This window comes from Homo sapiens, chromosome 16 (assembly GCF_000001405.40).
Source record: "Homo sapiens chromosome 16, GRCh38.p14 Primary Assembly".
NCBI classification, from domain to species: Eukaryota; Metazoa; Chordata; class Mammalia; order Primates; family Hominidae; genus Homo; species Homo sapiens.
In genome coordinates this window covers 122,661-137,265 of record NC_000016.10, presented here as the reverse complement: position 1 = coordinate 137,265, position 14,605 = coordinate 122,661, and the positions used below count along the sequence as shown (strand labels likewise).

At 46.9% G+C, this 14,605-nt stretch overlaps 1 protein-coding gene across 5 annotated transcripts in view, besides 1 other annotated feature; it reads left to right on the top strand.

Moving 5' to 3' along the window:
- NPRL3 (NPR3 like, GATOR1 complex subunit) overlaps positions 1–14,605 on the top strand; it is a 53,288-nt gene that overhangs the window by 1,408 nt on the left and 37,275 nt on the right. For 4 of the 5 annotated variants that reach the window (NM_001077350.3, NM_001243248.2, NM_001039476.3 and 1 more), the window contains one exon: positions 6,675–6,744. In NM_001077350.3, coding sequence (NP_001070818.1) covers positions 6,675–6,744 — 70 coding nt within the window. Of the gene's footprint in view, positions 1–6,674; positions 6,745–12,192; positions 12,330–14,605 lie in introns of all 5 variants that reach the window. The other variant, NM_001243247.2, reaches the window with a different exon arrangement.
- Positions 1–14,605: part of a locus control region, noted in NCBI's record as "regulatory region from 0-65 kb upstream of the HBZ (hemoglobin, zeta) gene; 5' extent approximated based on the cNFG2 cosmid described in PMID:2253879", that runs on past both edges of the window. NCBI's record gives its function as "regulates expression of the alpha-globin genes during erythroid development" and the evidence as "EXISTENCE:transgenic organism evidence [ECO:0001131][PMID:2253879, PMID:1425590, PMID:17110138]".

Here is a 14,605-nt window from a genome sequence, read left to right as displayed (position 1 = left end):
CATCATCATGAATGTTCAGTTTTTGTTTTTATTTTATTTATTTTTTGAGACGGAGTCTCACTCTGTCGCCCAGGCTGGAGTTGAGTGGCGTGATCTCGGCTCACTGCAGCCTCCACCTCCCGGGCTCAAGGGATTCTCCTGCCTCAGCCTCCCAAGTAGCTGGGGCTACAGGGCATGTGCACCACACCCTGCAATTTTTTTTTTTTTTTTTTTTTTTTTTAGTAGAGATGGGGTTTTGCCATGTTGGCCAGGCTGATCTCGAACTCCTGGCCTCAAATGATCTACCTGCCTCGGCCTCCCAAAGTACTGGGATTACAGGTGTGAGCCACCGCACCCGGACTGTTCAGTTTTTATTTTGTATTTTGTTTTAAAATTATTTTTAAACTTGTTGATATGGCAGAAAGTTTTAAAGATACAAAGGAGTTTAGATTATGAAAAGAAAGTTCTTTCCTACTATTGGCCCCCAGCCCTCAGTTTCCATCATAGGGGTAACTACTGTTCCCATTTTTCTGTGTCTTTCCAGGACCTTCTGTGTCAATACAGGCGTATGTATTTCTTTTTTCTTTTTTTTTTTTTTTGAGACGAGTCTTGCAGTCTTGCCAGGCTGGAGTGCAGTGGCGTGATCTCGGCTCACCGCAACCTCCGACCCCCTGTCAAGCAATTCTCCTGCCTCAGCCTCCCGAGTAGCTGGGACTACAGGCATGCGCCACCATGCCCAGCTAATTTTTTTTTTTATTTTTAGTAGAGATGGGGTTTCACCATGTTGGCCAGGCTGGTCTCCAACTCCTGACCTTGTGATCCGCCCGCCTTGGCCTCCCAAAGTGCTGGGATTACAGGCGTGAGCCACCGCGCCCAGCCTGCACTTGTGTTTTTTTTCTAAGCACAAGCAAAGTCACACCATACACACTGTTCTGCCCCTGTTTTCGTTTTCACTTCATGTCTGCATCTTTGATGTAGATCAGAACCTGTCGAGCACCCTTGTCCTTCTTACCGGCCACGGTGAATTCCATGAGATGAACATATTGTGATTTGTTTATCGTGTCCTTTTGGTTGATGGACGCAAAATTGTTTTCAATCTTTTGCTAATACGAAAAGTTCAAACGTTCTTTCCAGGTATTGTCATTTTGCAGAATTCTTGTAATATTAAATCCCCAAAGTAGCATGGTTGGGTCTAAGGGATAAAGAGCATATTTATTTTTAATAGGTTAGATTTTTCAATCTTTGTTAATCTGGTAGGTGAAAAATTATATCTGGTAGTAATTTTAATGTTTATTTGCCTTTTAATTGAGATAGAAAGCATATTTTCCTGTTTTTGGAGCCATTTGGATTTCCTTTTCAGTGAATGACTTATTTATAACCTTTGCCTAATGTTCTCTTGGGTTGTTTGATTTTTTTTCCTTATAGATTTGAAGGAGTTCTTTATATATTTAATGTAAAAATAGGTCTTGGGACAAAGCTATAGTCACCCTGTTTGCTTCTGTGTAGTTCTTGCCAGAGTTTTGATTTTTGTGGAGTTTTCAGTCTAATCTCTTGTGGTTTCTGAGTTTTGTTTTAAATGGAAAGGCGTTTTGCTCTCCAAAATTATTAACAACAACAATAAAAAACTCCCTTATTTTCCTCCAGACTGTTTATGTCTTTTTTTTTTTTTTTTTTTTTTGAGACAGAGTCTCACTCTGTTGCCCAGGCTGGAGTGCAATGGCCTGATCTTGGCTCACTGCAACCTCTGCTTCCCGGGTTCAAGCGATTCTCCTGTCCCAGCCTCCCGAGTAGCTGGGTTTACAGGTGCGTGCCACCACGCCTGGCTAATTTTTGTATTTTTAGTAGAGATGGGGTTTCACCATATCAGCCAGGCTGGTCTTGAACTCCTGACCTCGTGATCTGCCTTCCTCGGCATCCCAAAGTATGTCTTGTTTTTAAATGTGTTTGTCTTGGCATAAGGTGAAGGCTAATCCTAAGAGCTGATATTTTCTGGGCTCTTGTGAAGAGTTGCAGATGAACTGCATGGTTGCCTTTGGAGCCCTGTGGAACTGGAGTTATAACAGGCCACAACGTGGCCAAATGATGATTGATTGGGCCAACATAATTTTCTTTTCCATATGGCTATCTGGTCCCAACATAATTTTATTGAATAATTCACCTTATTTCCACTAATTGATTCTGCTCTCTTTATCGTGCTAAATTCTCACGTTTACTTGGATCTATTTTTTGTCTTTCTTATCTCCTCCAATGATCTATGTGTAGGTTCCATAATAATTACTGTGACTTGGCCGGGCGCGGTGGCTCACGCCTGTAATCCCAGCACTTTGGGAGGCCGAGGCGGGCGGATCACGAGGTCAGGAGATCGAGACCATCCTGGCTAACAAGGTGAAACCCCGTCTCTACTAAAAATACAAAAAATTAGCCGGGCGTGGTAGCGGGCGCCTGTAGTCCCAGCTACTCGGGAGGCTGAGGCAGGAGAATGGCGTGAACCCGGGAGGCGGAGCTTGCAGTGAGCCGAGATCGCGCCACTGCACTCCAGCCTGGGCGACAGAGCGAGACTCCGTCTCAAAAAAAAAAAAAAAAAAAAAAAAATAATAATAATTACTGTGACTTTATGTTATACTATCCGTAAGGTTAGTCACTTGTCGTTACTTTTCTTTTTCAGCGTTATCCTGGCTGTGCTTTATTATTTTTCCCTGTAAACTTTCGCATCAAGTGCATTAGGTCCCACTCCCAAGCTCTTGGTGTAGGTAGCTTTGAATCTGTTGATTAACTGGGAAGAAAAAGCATCTTTATGTTGAATCTTCCCGTTCAGGAAAATGATATGTCTTCAATTCATTTTTTTCTCCCTTATTAGCTTTTCCATTGTTTTCATGGGCCTTTTGCACTCTTCTTAGATTCATCACTAGGTTTTTAAATTTTTTTACTCCGGGAAAGTATTATTGTTTGTGTATATGAAGGCTCTTGGTGTATGTACATTTAAATTTTTTTTATTTTGCCTATGCTTTTTCCAACCTAATTGTCATCCCACACTGTGAGGGGGTGTGTGTGTGTGTGTACATGTGCATAGGGGCCTACCTCACTTTATTGTGTTTTCTACAAATTGAAAGTTCATGGCAAACCTGTGTCCAGCAAGTCTGTCAGCACCATTTTTCCAACAGTATATACTCACTTTGTGTCTCTGGGTGGTGTTTTGGTAATTCTTGCAGTATTTCAAACTTTTTCATTATTATTGTATCTGTTACGGTGATACATGATCTTTATGTTACTATTGTGATTGTTTTGGGGTACCAAGAACCATGTCCACATAAGATAGCAAGTTTCATCAATAATTGTGTGTATTCTGGCTGTTCGCCCATCTGTTTCCATCTCCTTGGACCACCCTGTTCCCTTAGACACAACAATATTGAAATTAAGCTGGTTATCTACAGTGGCCTCTAAGGGTTCAAGTGAAATAAAGAATCACATGTTTCTCACATTAAATCAAAAGCTAGAAATGATTAGGCTTCTTGAGGAAGGCATGTTGAAAGCTGAACTAGGCCAAAAGCTAGTCTGCTTGCACAAAACAGCCAAATGGTAAATGCAAAGGAAAAGCTCTTGAAGGAAATGGGAAGTGTTACTCCAAGCCAGGCCTGCACCTGTACTCCCAGCTACCTGGGAACTGTAGGCAGGAAAATTGCTTGAGCCCAGGAGTTTAAATCTAGCCTGGGCAACATAGGGAGACCCTGACTCTTAAAACAAACAAACAAACAAACAACGCTAGGCACAGTGGCTCATGCCTGTAATCCTAGCACTTTGGGAAGCCGAGGCGGGCGGATCACGAGGTCAGAAGTTCGAGACCAGCCTGGACAACATGGTGAAACCCCATCTCTGCTAAAAAAAAAAATACAAAAATTAGCTGGGCGTGTTGGCCCATGCCTGTAATCCCCAGCTACTCGGGAGGCTGAGACGGGAGAATTGCTTGAGCCTGGGAGGCAGAGGTTGCAGTGAGCTGAGATCCGACATTGCACTCCAGCCTGGGCAACAAGAGGGAGACTCTGTCTCAAAACAAAGCAAAACAGAACAGTGAATGCATGATAAAAAGGTAAATAGCTTTGTTTGTTGCTGGTATGGAAAGTTTTAGTGGTCTGGATAGATCAGGCCAGCCACAATATTCTCTTAAACCAAAGCCTAATCCAGAAAAAGGCTCTAACTCTCTTTAATTCTGAGAAGGCTGAGAGAGGTAAGGAAGCTGCAGAAGAAAAGTTGGAAGCTAGCAGAAGTTAGTTCATGAGATTTAAGGAAAGAAACCATCTCTATAACGTAAAAGTGCAAGGTGGGCCGGGTGCGGTGGCTCACGCCTGTAATCCTAGCACTTTGGGAGGCCGAGGTGGGCGGATCACGAGGTCAGGAGATCAAGACCATCCTGGCTAACACAGTGAAACCCCATGTCTACTAAAAATACAAAAAATTAGCCGGGCATAGTGGCGGGCGCCTGTAGTCCCAGCTACTTGGGAGGCTGAGGCAGGAGAATGGCGTGAATCCGGGAGGCGGAGCTTGCAGTGAGCCGAGATCCCGCCACTGCACTCCAGCCTGGGCGACAGAGCGAGACTCCGTCTCAAAAAAAAAAAAAAAAAAAGAAATACAATTTGTAAGGCTATAGCTGCCATAGATAGTGATTCCTTGGACAGATCAGGGCAAAATAAATTGAAAACCTTCTGGAAAGCATGTGCCATTATAGATGCCATTAAGAACATTGGTGATCATGTCAAAATATCAACAGTAACAGGAGTTTGGAAAAAGTTGATTCCAGCTCTCATGGATGACTTTGAAGGAGTCGAAACTTCAGTGGAGGAAGTAACTGCAGATATGGTGGAAATAGCAAGAGATCTAGAATTAGAAGTAGGGCCTAAAGATGTGACTGAAATGCTGCAGTCTCACGATAAAACTTGAACGGATGAGGACTTGATTGTTATGGATGGGCAAAGAAAGCAGTTTCTGGGCTGAGTGTGGTGACTCACGCCTGTAATCCCAACACTTGGGAGGCTGAGGCAGGTGGATCACTTGAGCCCGGGAGTTCGAGACCAACCTGTGCAACATGACAAAAATTCATCTCTATTAAAAATACAAAAACTAGCCGGACATGGGTGTCATATGCCTGTAGTCCCAGCTACTCAGGGGACTGAGGTAGGAGGATCACCTGAGCCTTGGGAGGTCAAGACTGTAGTGAACGGTGATCACACCACCGCACTCCAGTCTGGATGACAGAGTGATACCCTGTCTCAAAAAAAAAAAAAAAGAAAGAAAGAAAGTAGCTTCTGGAAATGGAATGTATTCCTGGTAAAGATGTTGTAAACATTGTTAAAATGACAACAGAGATTTCGAATATTATATAAACTTAGTTGATAAAGCAGTGGTACAGTTTGAGAGCATTGCTTCCAATTCTGAAAGAAGTTCTGTGGTGGATAAAGTGCTGTCAACGTCCCGTACGACAGAGAAATCTTTCATGAAAGGAAGAGTAAATTGATAGATGTAGCAGAGGTCATTGTTGTCTTATTTTAAGAAATTGCTACAGCACCCCAGCCTTCAGCAAGTACCACTCTAATCAGTCAACAGCCATCAACATTGAGGCAATACCTTTCTCCAGCAAAACGATTGTTTTGCTGAAGGCTGAGCTGATTGTTAGCGTTTTTTTTTTTTTTTTTTTTTTGAGACTGAGTCTCACTCTGTCACCCAGGCTCAAGTGCAGTAGCACAATCCTCATCCTCCTGAGTAGCTGGGATTACAGGTGCCCACCACCATGCCCGGCTAATTTTTTTTTTTTTTTTTGAGACGGAGTCTTGCCGTGTCTCCCAGGCTGGAGTACAGTGGCGCGATCTTGGCTCACTGCAAGCTCTGCTTCCCGGGTTCACACCATTCTCTTGCCTCACCCTCCAGAGTAGCTGGGACTACAGGCACCCACCACCACGCCCGGCTAATTTTTTGTATTTTTAGTAGAGACGGGGTTTCACCGTGTTAGCCAGGATGGTCTTGATCTCCTGATTTCGTGATCCACCCGCCTCGGCCTCCCAAAGTGCTGGGATTACAGGCGTGAACCACCGCGCTCAGCCATGCCCGGCTAATTTTTGTATTTTTAGTAGAGACGGGGTTTCGCCATGTTGGCCAGGCTGGTTTCGAACTCCTGACCTCAGGTGATCCACCCACCTTGGCCTCCTAAAGGGTTGGGATTACAGGCACGGGCCACCGTGCCTTATCACTGTTTTTGAAGATAACATAAGATTTGTCATTTTAATGATTTGTAAGTGTATAATTAAGTGGCATTAATTACATTCATTATAGTGTGCAGCCATTACCGCTATCTGTTTCTAAAGCTTTTTCAGCACGTAAACTGAAACTCTGTAACCACTGACCAATAACTCTTCATTTCCCCTGCTCCCAGCCTGTGCTAACCTCTAATCTACTTTCTGTCTTGATGCATTTGCCTGTTCTAGACATTTCATATACTGTAAGTGCACCATTTGTTCTTTTGTCTCTGGCTTATTCAGCATGATGTTGTCAAGGTTCACCCATGTTCATTCCTTTTTATGTCTGAGTAATATTCCATGGTATGGACAGAGCATGTTTTGGAAAACATGGCTGTTAACGGTTCCATAACCCTCCTGTGTGTGGAAGGACCCTGTTTTCTTAGCCCTTCCCCTCTTTTCGCCCCGACTCAGGTAAGCCGCGTAGCAGATACGCTGCCAGCAACACGGGCGACCATGCTGATGAGCAGGACGGCGATTCCAGGTAAAGGCTCTGCGGCCACTTCAGGGCGGGGCGTGTCCTGGTCCCAGGCCTGGGCAAAGCCCCACCCTCCTATTCACCCAGATGTTTTCTCCCTGAGAAGTCTGGTGTTTGTTTTTTTCCGTTTAGTGGGTGCTCTCAGGTAGTGTAGAGTGGAGGACTGCGTAGACAGTCTGGGGCTTGCTGAATAATTTGGGCACCTGTTCCAGCTTCAGGCTTGTCTGGTGGGTGAAGCAGGTCAGAGCACAGATGAGGCCATGTCCACGTGAGATGTTTATCTCCTATGAAAGAAACATAGAGGAAAGCAGACCCCTATGTTGTTGTCTTTGGATCTAATTCCTTGAGCATGTACCCAGAGGTCAAATGCAGGTGCTTGGGTTTAGCACAGCCTGGTCAAGTCCCTTCTTGGTGTCCAGGCTCAGGTGGTGATATGGGCAGTGGGGCTTAGAGCTGGGATGGTGTGAACCTTGATGTTCTTTGATGTTCTTTTAGGCACAGATGAAAGGTGGATCCGGTTCCTTCCTGTGTTTGTGCCCCTGCTCTCTCTGGGAGGCACTACCAGGGTAGAAACTTTAGAAATGACCACTTCTGCCTTCTGTTCATTTTGAAGCATAGTAAATGGTAACATAGGCCCAGGTGAGGGAGGGAAGATTGTGAGTTACCTGCCCTGGGTTCCCTTAAACACAGACAAGGCCTGTGTGGAGTAAAGGACTTGGCTTCCACTGTCCCGGGAAAAAATAGCTAAGATCCCTATGCTGGGCCTTTGCTGTGCAGTGAGGTAGTGCTGTTTCTCTGCAGTTCTCTGACAAGGCAGCACCACACCTGCCATGGCAATTTGCAAGTCTTTTTAAAAAAATTTTATTGATTGATTGTAGAGATGGGGTCTTGCTTTGTTGCCCAGGCTGGTCCTGAGCTCCTGGCCTCAAGTGATTTTCCTTCCTTGGCCTCCCAAATTTTTGGGATTACGTACATAAGCCACCATGCCTGACCACAATTTGTGGTTCCAAGAGTGTGATTTTTATCATCATTTGGGAGGATGTTGGGGCCTCTGGCATGACTGATGACTGTCTCTGAGTGGAGTGGGCTTTGGAAGGGCGATGGGGCTTGCTGGACACCCCATTGGACCGTCATTTTGATGTAGAGGCCTGTGGTTGTCTTGCCCTTTAAATGTGGTGGTGGAACAAACTCTGGTTTGTCACAGGCATATAGAATGCTTTTGCCCCTGCACAGTGGGTAGGTATTTCCTGTTCTCCCTCCACCTGTGCCACAGATCAGCTTAGAGCAGGGCTGGCTGCTGGCCACCCCCCACATTAGCCTTACTCCAAGCTGCAGTGGATGTGAGGCCCAGGCTGCTGAAGACTCAGAAGGAAGGCTGGCAGTACCTAATTCCTGCAGTTAATTTTCAGACTTATAATGACATGACCATGAGGATATTTTCTAGGGAATTAATTTAATATTTAACGTAATGAAGAGGTAAAACTGTGGGAGGGGCATGCTTCTCTCTAGAATCTTTTATTGAAGAATTGCTTCATTCAGTAATTTTAGCACATCATATATCTGTAAATCTCACTGGTGCCACCCATGTTTTCCAGATACAGGGTTCATACCCTTAGGGGCTCAGTTCCCCTCCTGGTTTATTTTGTCACGTAGGCCCGCAAGCCCCTGCTCTGCCTTGTCATAGCTCAGAGCATGTTCCTGGAGCAAGGCAGTGAAAGTGCATCAAATCCACTCTCTGTGTCTTTGATTTTTTTTTTTTTGAGACGGAGTCTCGCTCTGTCACCCAGGCTGGAGTGCAGTGGCGCGATCTCAGCTCACTGCAGGCTCCGCCTCCCGGGTTCACACCATTCTCCTGCCTCAGCCTCCGGAGTAGCTGGGACTACAGGCGACTGCCACCACGCCCGGCTAATTTTTTCTATTTTTAGTAGAGATGGGGTTTCACCGTGTTAGCCAGGACGGTCTCGATCTCCTGACCTTGTGATCCACCAGCCTCGGCCTCCCAAAGTGCTGGGATTACAGGCGTGAGCCACCGCGCCCGGCCCGTGTCTTTGACTGTTGTTCCCAAAAGTGCTTTTCTTTCTGAAACCAGAGCTTCAGTTTACCAGACTGAAACAGTATTAACAGGCTACACAGTGACTTGTGAGTGGTCGTGGCCTGCCTTAGAAAAGTGAGGACACAGCCGTGCTGCTCACTATTACAAACACTGGCCAGTGTGGCCATTTAAATTGAAGTTAACTGAAATAGGCCAGATGTCGTGGCTTATGCCTGTAATCCAAGCACTTTGGGAGTCCCAGGCAGATGGATCACCTGAGGTCAGGAGACAGCCTGGCCAACATGGCAAAACCCTACCTCTACTAAAAATACAAAAATTTGTCGGGCATGGGAGCACATGCCTGTAATCCTAGCTACTCCGGAGGCTAAGGCAGGAGAATCACTTGAACTTGGGAGGCGGAGGTTGCAGTGAGCTGAGATCACGCCACTGCACTCCAGTTTGGGCAACAGAACGAGAGTCTGTCTCAAAAAAAAAAAAAAAGAAGAAGATGGAAATTAACTGAAATAAAAAATTCACTTGCGGCCGGGCGCAGTGGCTCAAGCCTGTAATCCCAGCCCTTTGGGAGGCCAAGGCGGGCGGATCATGAGGTCAGGAGATCGAGACTCATCCTGGCTAACACGGTGAAACCCCATCTCTACTAAAAATACAAAAAGTTATCCGGGCATGGTGGCGGGCGCCTGTAGTCCCAGCTACTTGGGAGGCTGAGGCAGGAGAATGGCGTGAACCCGGGAGGCGGAGCTTGCAGTGAGCCAAGATTGTGCCACTGCACTCCAGCCTGGGCAACAGAGTGAGACTCCGTCTCAAAAAAAAAAAAAAAAAATTCACTTGCTCAGTTGCACTGGTCACATTTCAGGTGCTCAATGTCTATATGGAAATAGTGTCTACCATATTAAATGGTTCAGATTTGGAATATTCCCATCACAGTAGAAAGTTCTTTTGGGGCCGGGAGCGGTAGCTCATGCCTGTAATCCCACCACTTTGGGTGTCCAAGGCGGGGGGATCACTTGAGGCCAGATGTTTGAGAACAGTCTGGACAGCATGACGAAACCCCATCTCTACAAAAAATACAAAAATTAGCTGGGTTGGTGACCTGCGCCCTTAGTCCCAGCCACTGCGGAGGCTGAGGGAGCCCAGGACATGGAGCTTGCAGTGAGCCGAGATCATGCCGCTGTACTCCAGCCTGAGCCTTGAGTGACAGAGTGAGACCCTGTCTCAAAAAAAAAAAAAAAAAAAAAAAAATTGGACAGTGCTGTCTTAGAGAGGGGGCTAGTTTTTTGAGGTGCATCATCAAGATATGGTTCAGGGCTGGGCGCATTGGCCCATGCCTGTAATCCCAGCACTTTGGGAGACTGAGGTAGGCAGATCGCTTGAGCTCCGGAGTTCGAGACCAGCATGGGTAATATGACGAAGTCCTGTCTCTACCAAAAATACAAAAAATTAGCCTGGCATGGTGGCACACGCCTGTGGTCTCTGCTACTCAGGAGGCTGAGGTGAGAGGATTGCTTGAGCCTGGGAGGCAGAGATTGCCACAAGCCAAGATCACATTGCTGCACTCCAACTTGGGTGACAGAGTGAGACCCCCCTCTCAGAAACAATTTAAGATATGATTCAGGTTATAGAGATTAACTCTTACTTATTTTTTATAATCCTTTTCTATAATTCAATTATGAGAAAAGAAAATGGATATTGTCCAGTGTCTCTAAGACTTGAAACCAAGGTCAGAAAAGATGTAGTGTTCCCTGGGTATTAGGGGCCATGGTGCTCATGTTTAAATGTACCGTGTGTCCCCACCACTGGTAGGGGCAGAAGCCATCAAGCCAGGTCTGAGAGATAGCCTGGTGTCCCTCAGAAAGGCTGGTGTGGGCATGTCCCTCTCTGTGTGGACACCGTCTTCCTGCTCCCTTCTTTGAAACTGCGAGCAGTGCTTAGGCCACTACCTCAGAGAATGGGGAGCTAGAGGTTTAGAGAAGAACTGATTTCTTTCATTTTCAAAATGCTCTGAAATCATATTATTATTATTATTATTAATTATTATTATTATTATTATTATTTTGAGACGTAGTTTCATTCTTGTTGCCCAGGCTGGGGTGCAATGGCGCAATCTCGGCTCACTGCAACCTCTGCCTCCCAGGTTCAAGCAATTCTCCTGCCTCAGCCTCCCAAAGTGCTGGGATTACAGGCGTGAACCACTGCACCCGGCCTAATTTTTTTTTTTTTTTTAACAGAGGGTTTCTCCATGTTGGCCAGGCTGGTCTCGAACTCAGCTTGGTCAACATGGAGAACCCTGACCTCAGGTGATTGAACTCCTGGGCTTAAGTGATCCTCCCACCTTGGCCTCCCAATGTTCTGGGATTACACGCATGAGCCCCCTCACCCAGCTACCAGCTCTGCCTTTAATTCTCAGGTGACATCTTGGGGAATCAGGTGGCACTGCTACTGTCCTCAGGCTTGGCCACTTTTGTAGCAGTGTACCCAACTTGTGGCTGCACTTGGGCCTAGGCCAGATGGGGTCCTTGGCCAGGCAGGCACTCTCTAGCTCACAACATACAGGTCCTCCCACCAGGCACACATGAGGCTCTGCCAGGGCCTCTCTTGTTAGGTTTGCCTCTATTAGCTTGTGTTTTTAGAGCCCTACACTGATGTGTTAGAAAGATGCCCTCTCCTTTCTGTAGCTGAGGTTGACACACAAGAAAGCAGGTAGGCATTTTTGTCCCCAGGCTTGGGCACTTCCCTCTGCCCAGCCATCGCATCCATGCTGCAGGGCAGTGTAAAGGGACAAGTGCAGGTTCAGGGTTCCAAGTTTGACTCTCGCTTTGCAGCCTTCGGTGTGTGATCTTGGGCACATTCTTTAGAATGAGCCTTAGTTCCACTGTTTTCTGTTAAGATGCCTGAGGGTGGTGAGTTGCCTTCACCTCTTCCTCCCAGATCAGGATGTTGTAGGACCATCCTTGTCTCTGAGTGTTAGCTGATGGCCCTGCCTCCCTCAGAGGGGCAGACGCAAGTCTGTAAAATGCTCCTGTCAGGAAATGGAGCATTGCCGGACTCAGAAGCCCTCTGTGCTTACTCCTTTTCCTCTGGAGCAAAGGGGTTGCATTGTGACTTGTCTAGTTGTAGGAGGCAGAGCTTACAGTCAGGCTTCAGCTTCGAGGATTCTGACTTCTTGGGTGATCTTGGGAAAATCCATGAAACATCTTAATGCTTTCATACTGTACAACCTGAGGAGCTTGGCAGCTGCTGAGGAAAGAGATCCCTTCTGTGGATCTTTGGCAGAGCTCCCACAATGTTTCCACTCCTGGATTCAGGTCTCCTTTCTCTTTCCAGAATACATGGAAAGCAGTGTGTCCCAGAACTCAAATATCTGCAGAGGAAAATAAAGGTTTTTTTTTTTTTTTTTTTTTGAGACAAAGTTTCACTCTGTCGCCCAAGGCTGGAGTGCAGTGGTGTGATCTCGGCTTGCTGCAACCTCACCTCTAGGGTTCAAGCGATTCTCCTGCCTCAGCCTCCCGAGTAGCTGGGATTACAGGCATCCACCACCAAGGTGAGCTAATTTTTTCTTTTTAAGTAGAGACAGGGTTTCGCCATGTTGGCCAGGCTGGTCTCGAACTCCTGACCTCAAGCGATCCACCCACCTCGGCCTCCCAAAGTGCTAGGATTACAGGCGTGAGCCATCGTGCCTAGCCAGAAAGTAAACTCCTAAACTGTTTCTAAAAATCTCAACTCAGGTAGTGCAAAAGCCCAGATGTTTTCTGACAAATATATATGGATCCACCATGACCACTTTATTGCTCCAGGCAGAGGCTTAGGGAAGTCAGGTGTGCTGGCAGTCACAGTATCTCAAGAATTGGAGCTGGTGAAATTCATATGACACGCTATAGTTTTCAGAAGGCTTTTGCCTCTGGGAGTCTTATGTGATCCTCGGTAGGCGATTTCTTGTCATGCAGATGAGAAAACTTTTACCACAAAGATTAGTTTTAGGCTGGGTGCAGTGGCTCACGCCTGTAATCCCAGTACTTTGGGAGGCCGAGGCAGGAGGATTGCTTGACCCCAGGAGTATGAGACCAGCTTGAGTAGCATTGTGAGACCCTGTCTCTTTTGAAGAAAAAAAAGAAAAAAGGAAAAAAAAAAAGAAAAGAAAAGATGAGATACTTCTGCACAGGCATCCGGCTAATACATATGGTGCTGGGTCTGACCCAGCTCTGCCAGCCTTGTGCTTACTTCTGAAAAATGACTTTTGTTCCTGCCCAGCCTGTACTTCTGTGTGAGAATTTGACTTTTAGTGAGAAAACCCCATGGTAAGCGTTGAGCGTGGGGAGCGTGTGACCCTGTTTCTCAGCGTGGGGAGTGTGTGACCCTGTTTCTCACATGTTGGGAGTGTGTGATCTGTTTCTCAGCGTGGGGAGTGTGTGATCCTGTTTCTCAGCGTGGGGAGTGTGTGATCTGTTTCTCAGCGTGGGGAGGGTGTGACCCTGTTTCTCAGCGTGGGGAGTGTGTGATCCTGTTTCTCAGCGGTGGGGAGTGTGTGATCCTGTTTCTCAACGTGGGGAGTGTGTGACCCTGTTTCTCAGCGTGGGGAGTGTGTGACCCTGTTTCTCAGCGTGGGGAGTGTGTGACCCTCTTTCTCAGCGTGGGGAGTGTGTGATCCTGTTTCTCAGCGTGGGGAGTGTGTGATCCTGTTTCTCAGCGTGGGGAGTGTGTGACCCTGTTTCTCAGCGTGGGGAGTGTGTGACCCTGTTTCTCAGCGTGGGGAGTGTGTGATCCTGTTTCTTGTCTGGTAAGTTGCTTAGTCGTGATGGTCAACAGTTAATGCTTAATGGTGGCACTTCTGCTAGACTTTTGTGCAGTTTTTATAAAATAGCCTTGTAACTTTTCATGGTTTTTAAAAAAGTGATATGTTTTTGTTTGGTCTTGATGGTCCTGTTCCCATTTCAGCGAGCCATGTCCTCCAACCGATGAGCAATTGGTTGCAGGGTAAGACCGAGACCTCTCCACCGTCTTTCTGTCTTGATTCCGGCTGCCTTCTCTTCTTGTAATTGTGCTTAATTCCTGATTTCCCTCCATGTTGAAGAGTGACTGATGAGGCACACAGGCGTGGACCTCACTGCCCCAGTTCCCCCATGAATGCCCAGACTTCCCACCACCCCGGCTTTTTCTCTACCCAGTCATTTAGCTATTTCACATTACCTGAGAGGCCAAGGCATGGCTGGCTGGCACCCGGGAGACTTCTGGGACCAGGCATGTCACACAAACCTCCTCTTCCTCCAGGTAGGCACAAGTAGTCCTGTGAGGGTGGCGGGCAAGCAGGAGTGGACTCTGTCATCTCCCTAGTCCACTGCCGCCCTAGAGAGACCTGTGACTGTTGCTCCTTGTTTTTATTTTTTGAGGGGTTTTGTGGGGGCCTCTCCCAAGGGTTGGGCATTAAGTGTGATGCTCAGGCCTAGATGCTATTGAGTGTGCTTAATAGAGGCAGAAATGTTCTCATGGAATTGATATGGTGCTTGTCCAGGAGGGCACGGATGACGGGCGACTCTTCCATTCCCCTTGACAGTGCATCTCCTCTGGGCCTTGGAGGTACACACAGTGTCTGTGAGCTTCCAGCAAGGAGGTGGGTGGGGCGAGCAGAGTTGAGCTCCCCTCCAGGATGTCTTTCCATCCCTTTAGGTGGGTGGGGGGAGCAGAACTGAGCTCCCTTCCAGGATGTCTTTCCATCCCTTTTTTTGTCCAAGCTAGAGAGCAAACCCTACTCCAGAATAGCTCGGCAGTGATAGAAGGTCCTGGCCTGTTTTCTGGCTGGGCTGGTTCATCTTCCTAAATGTG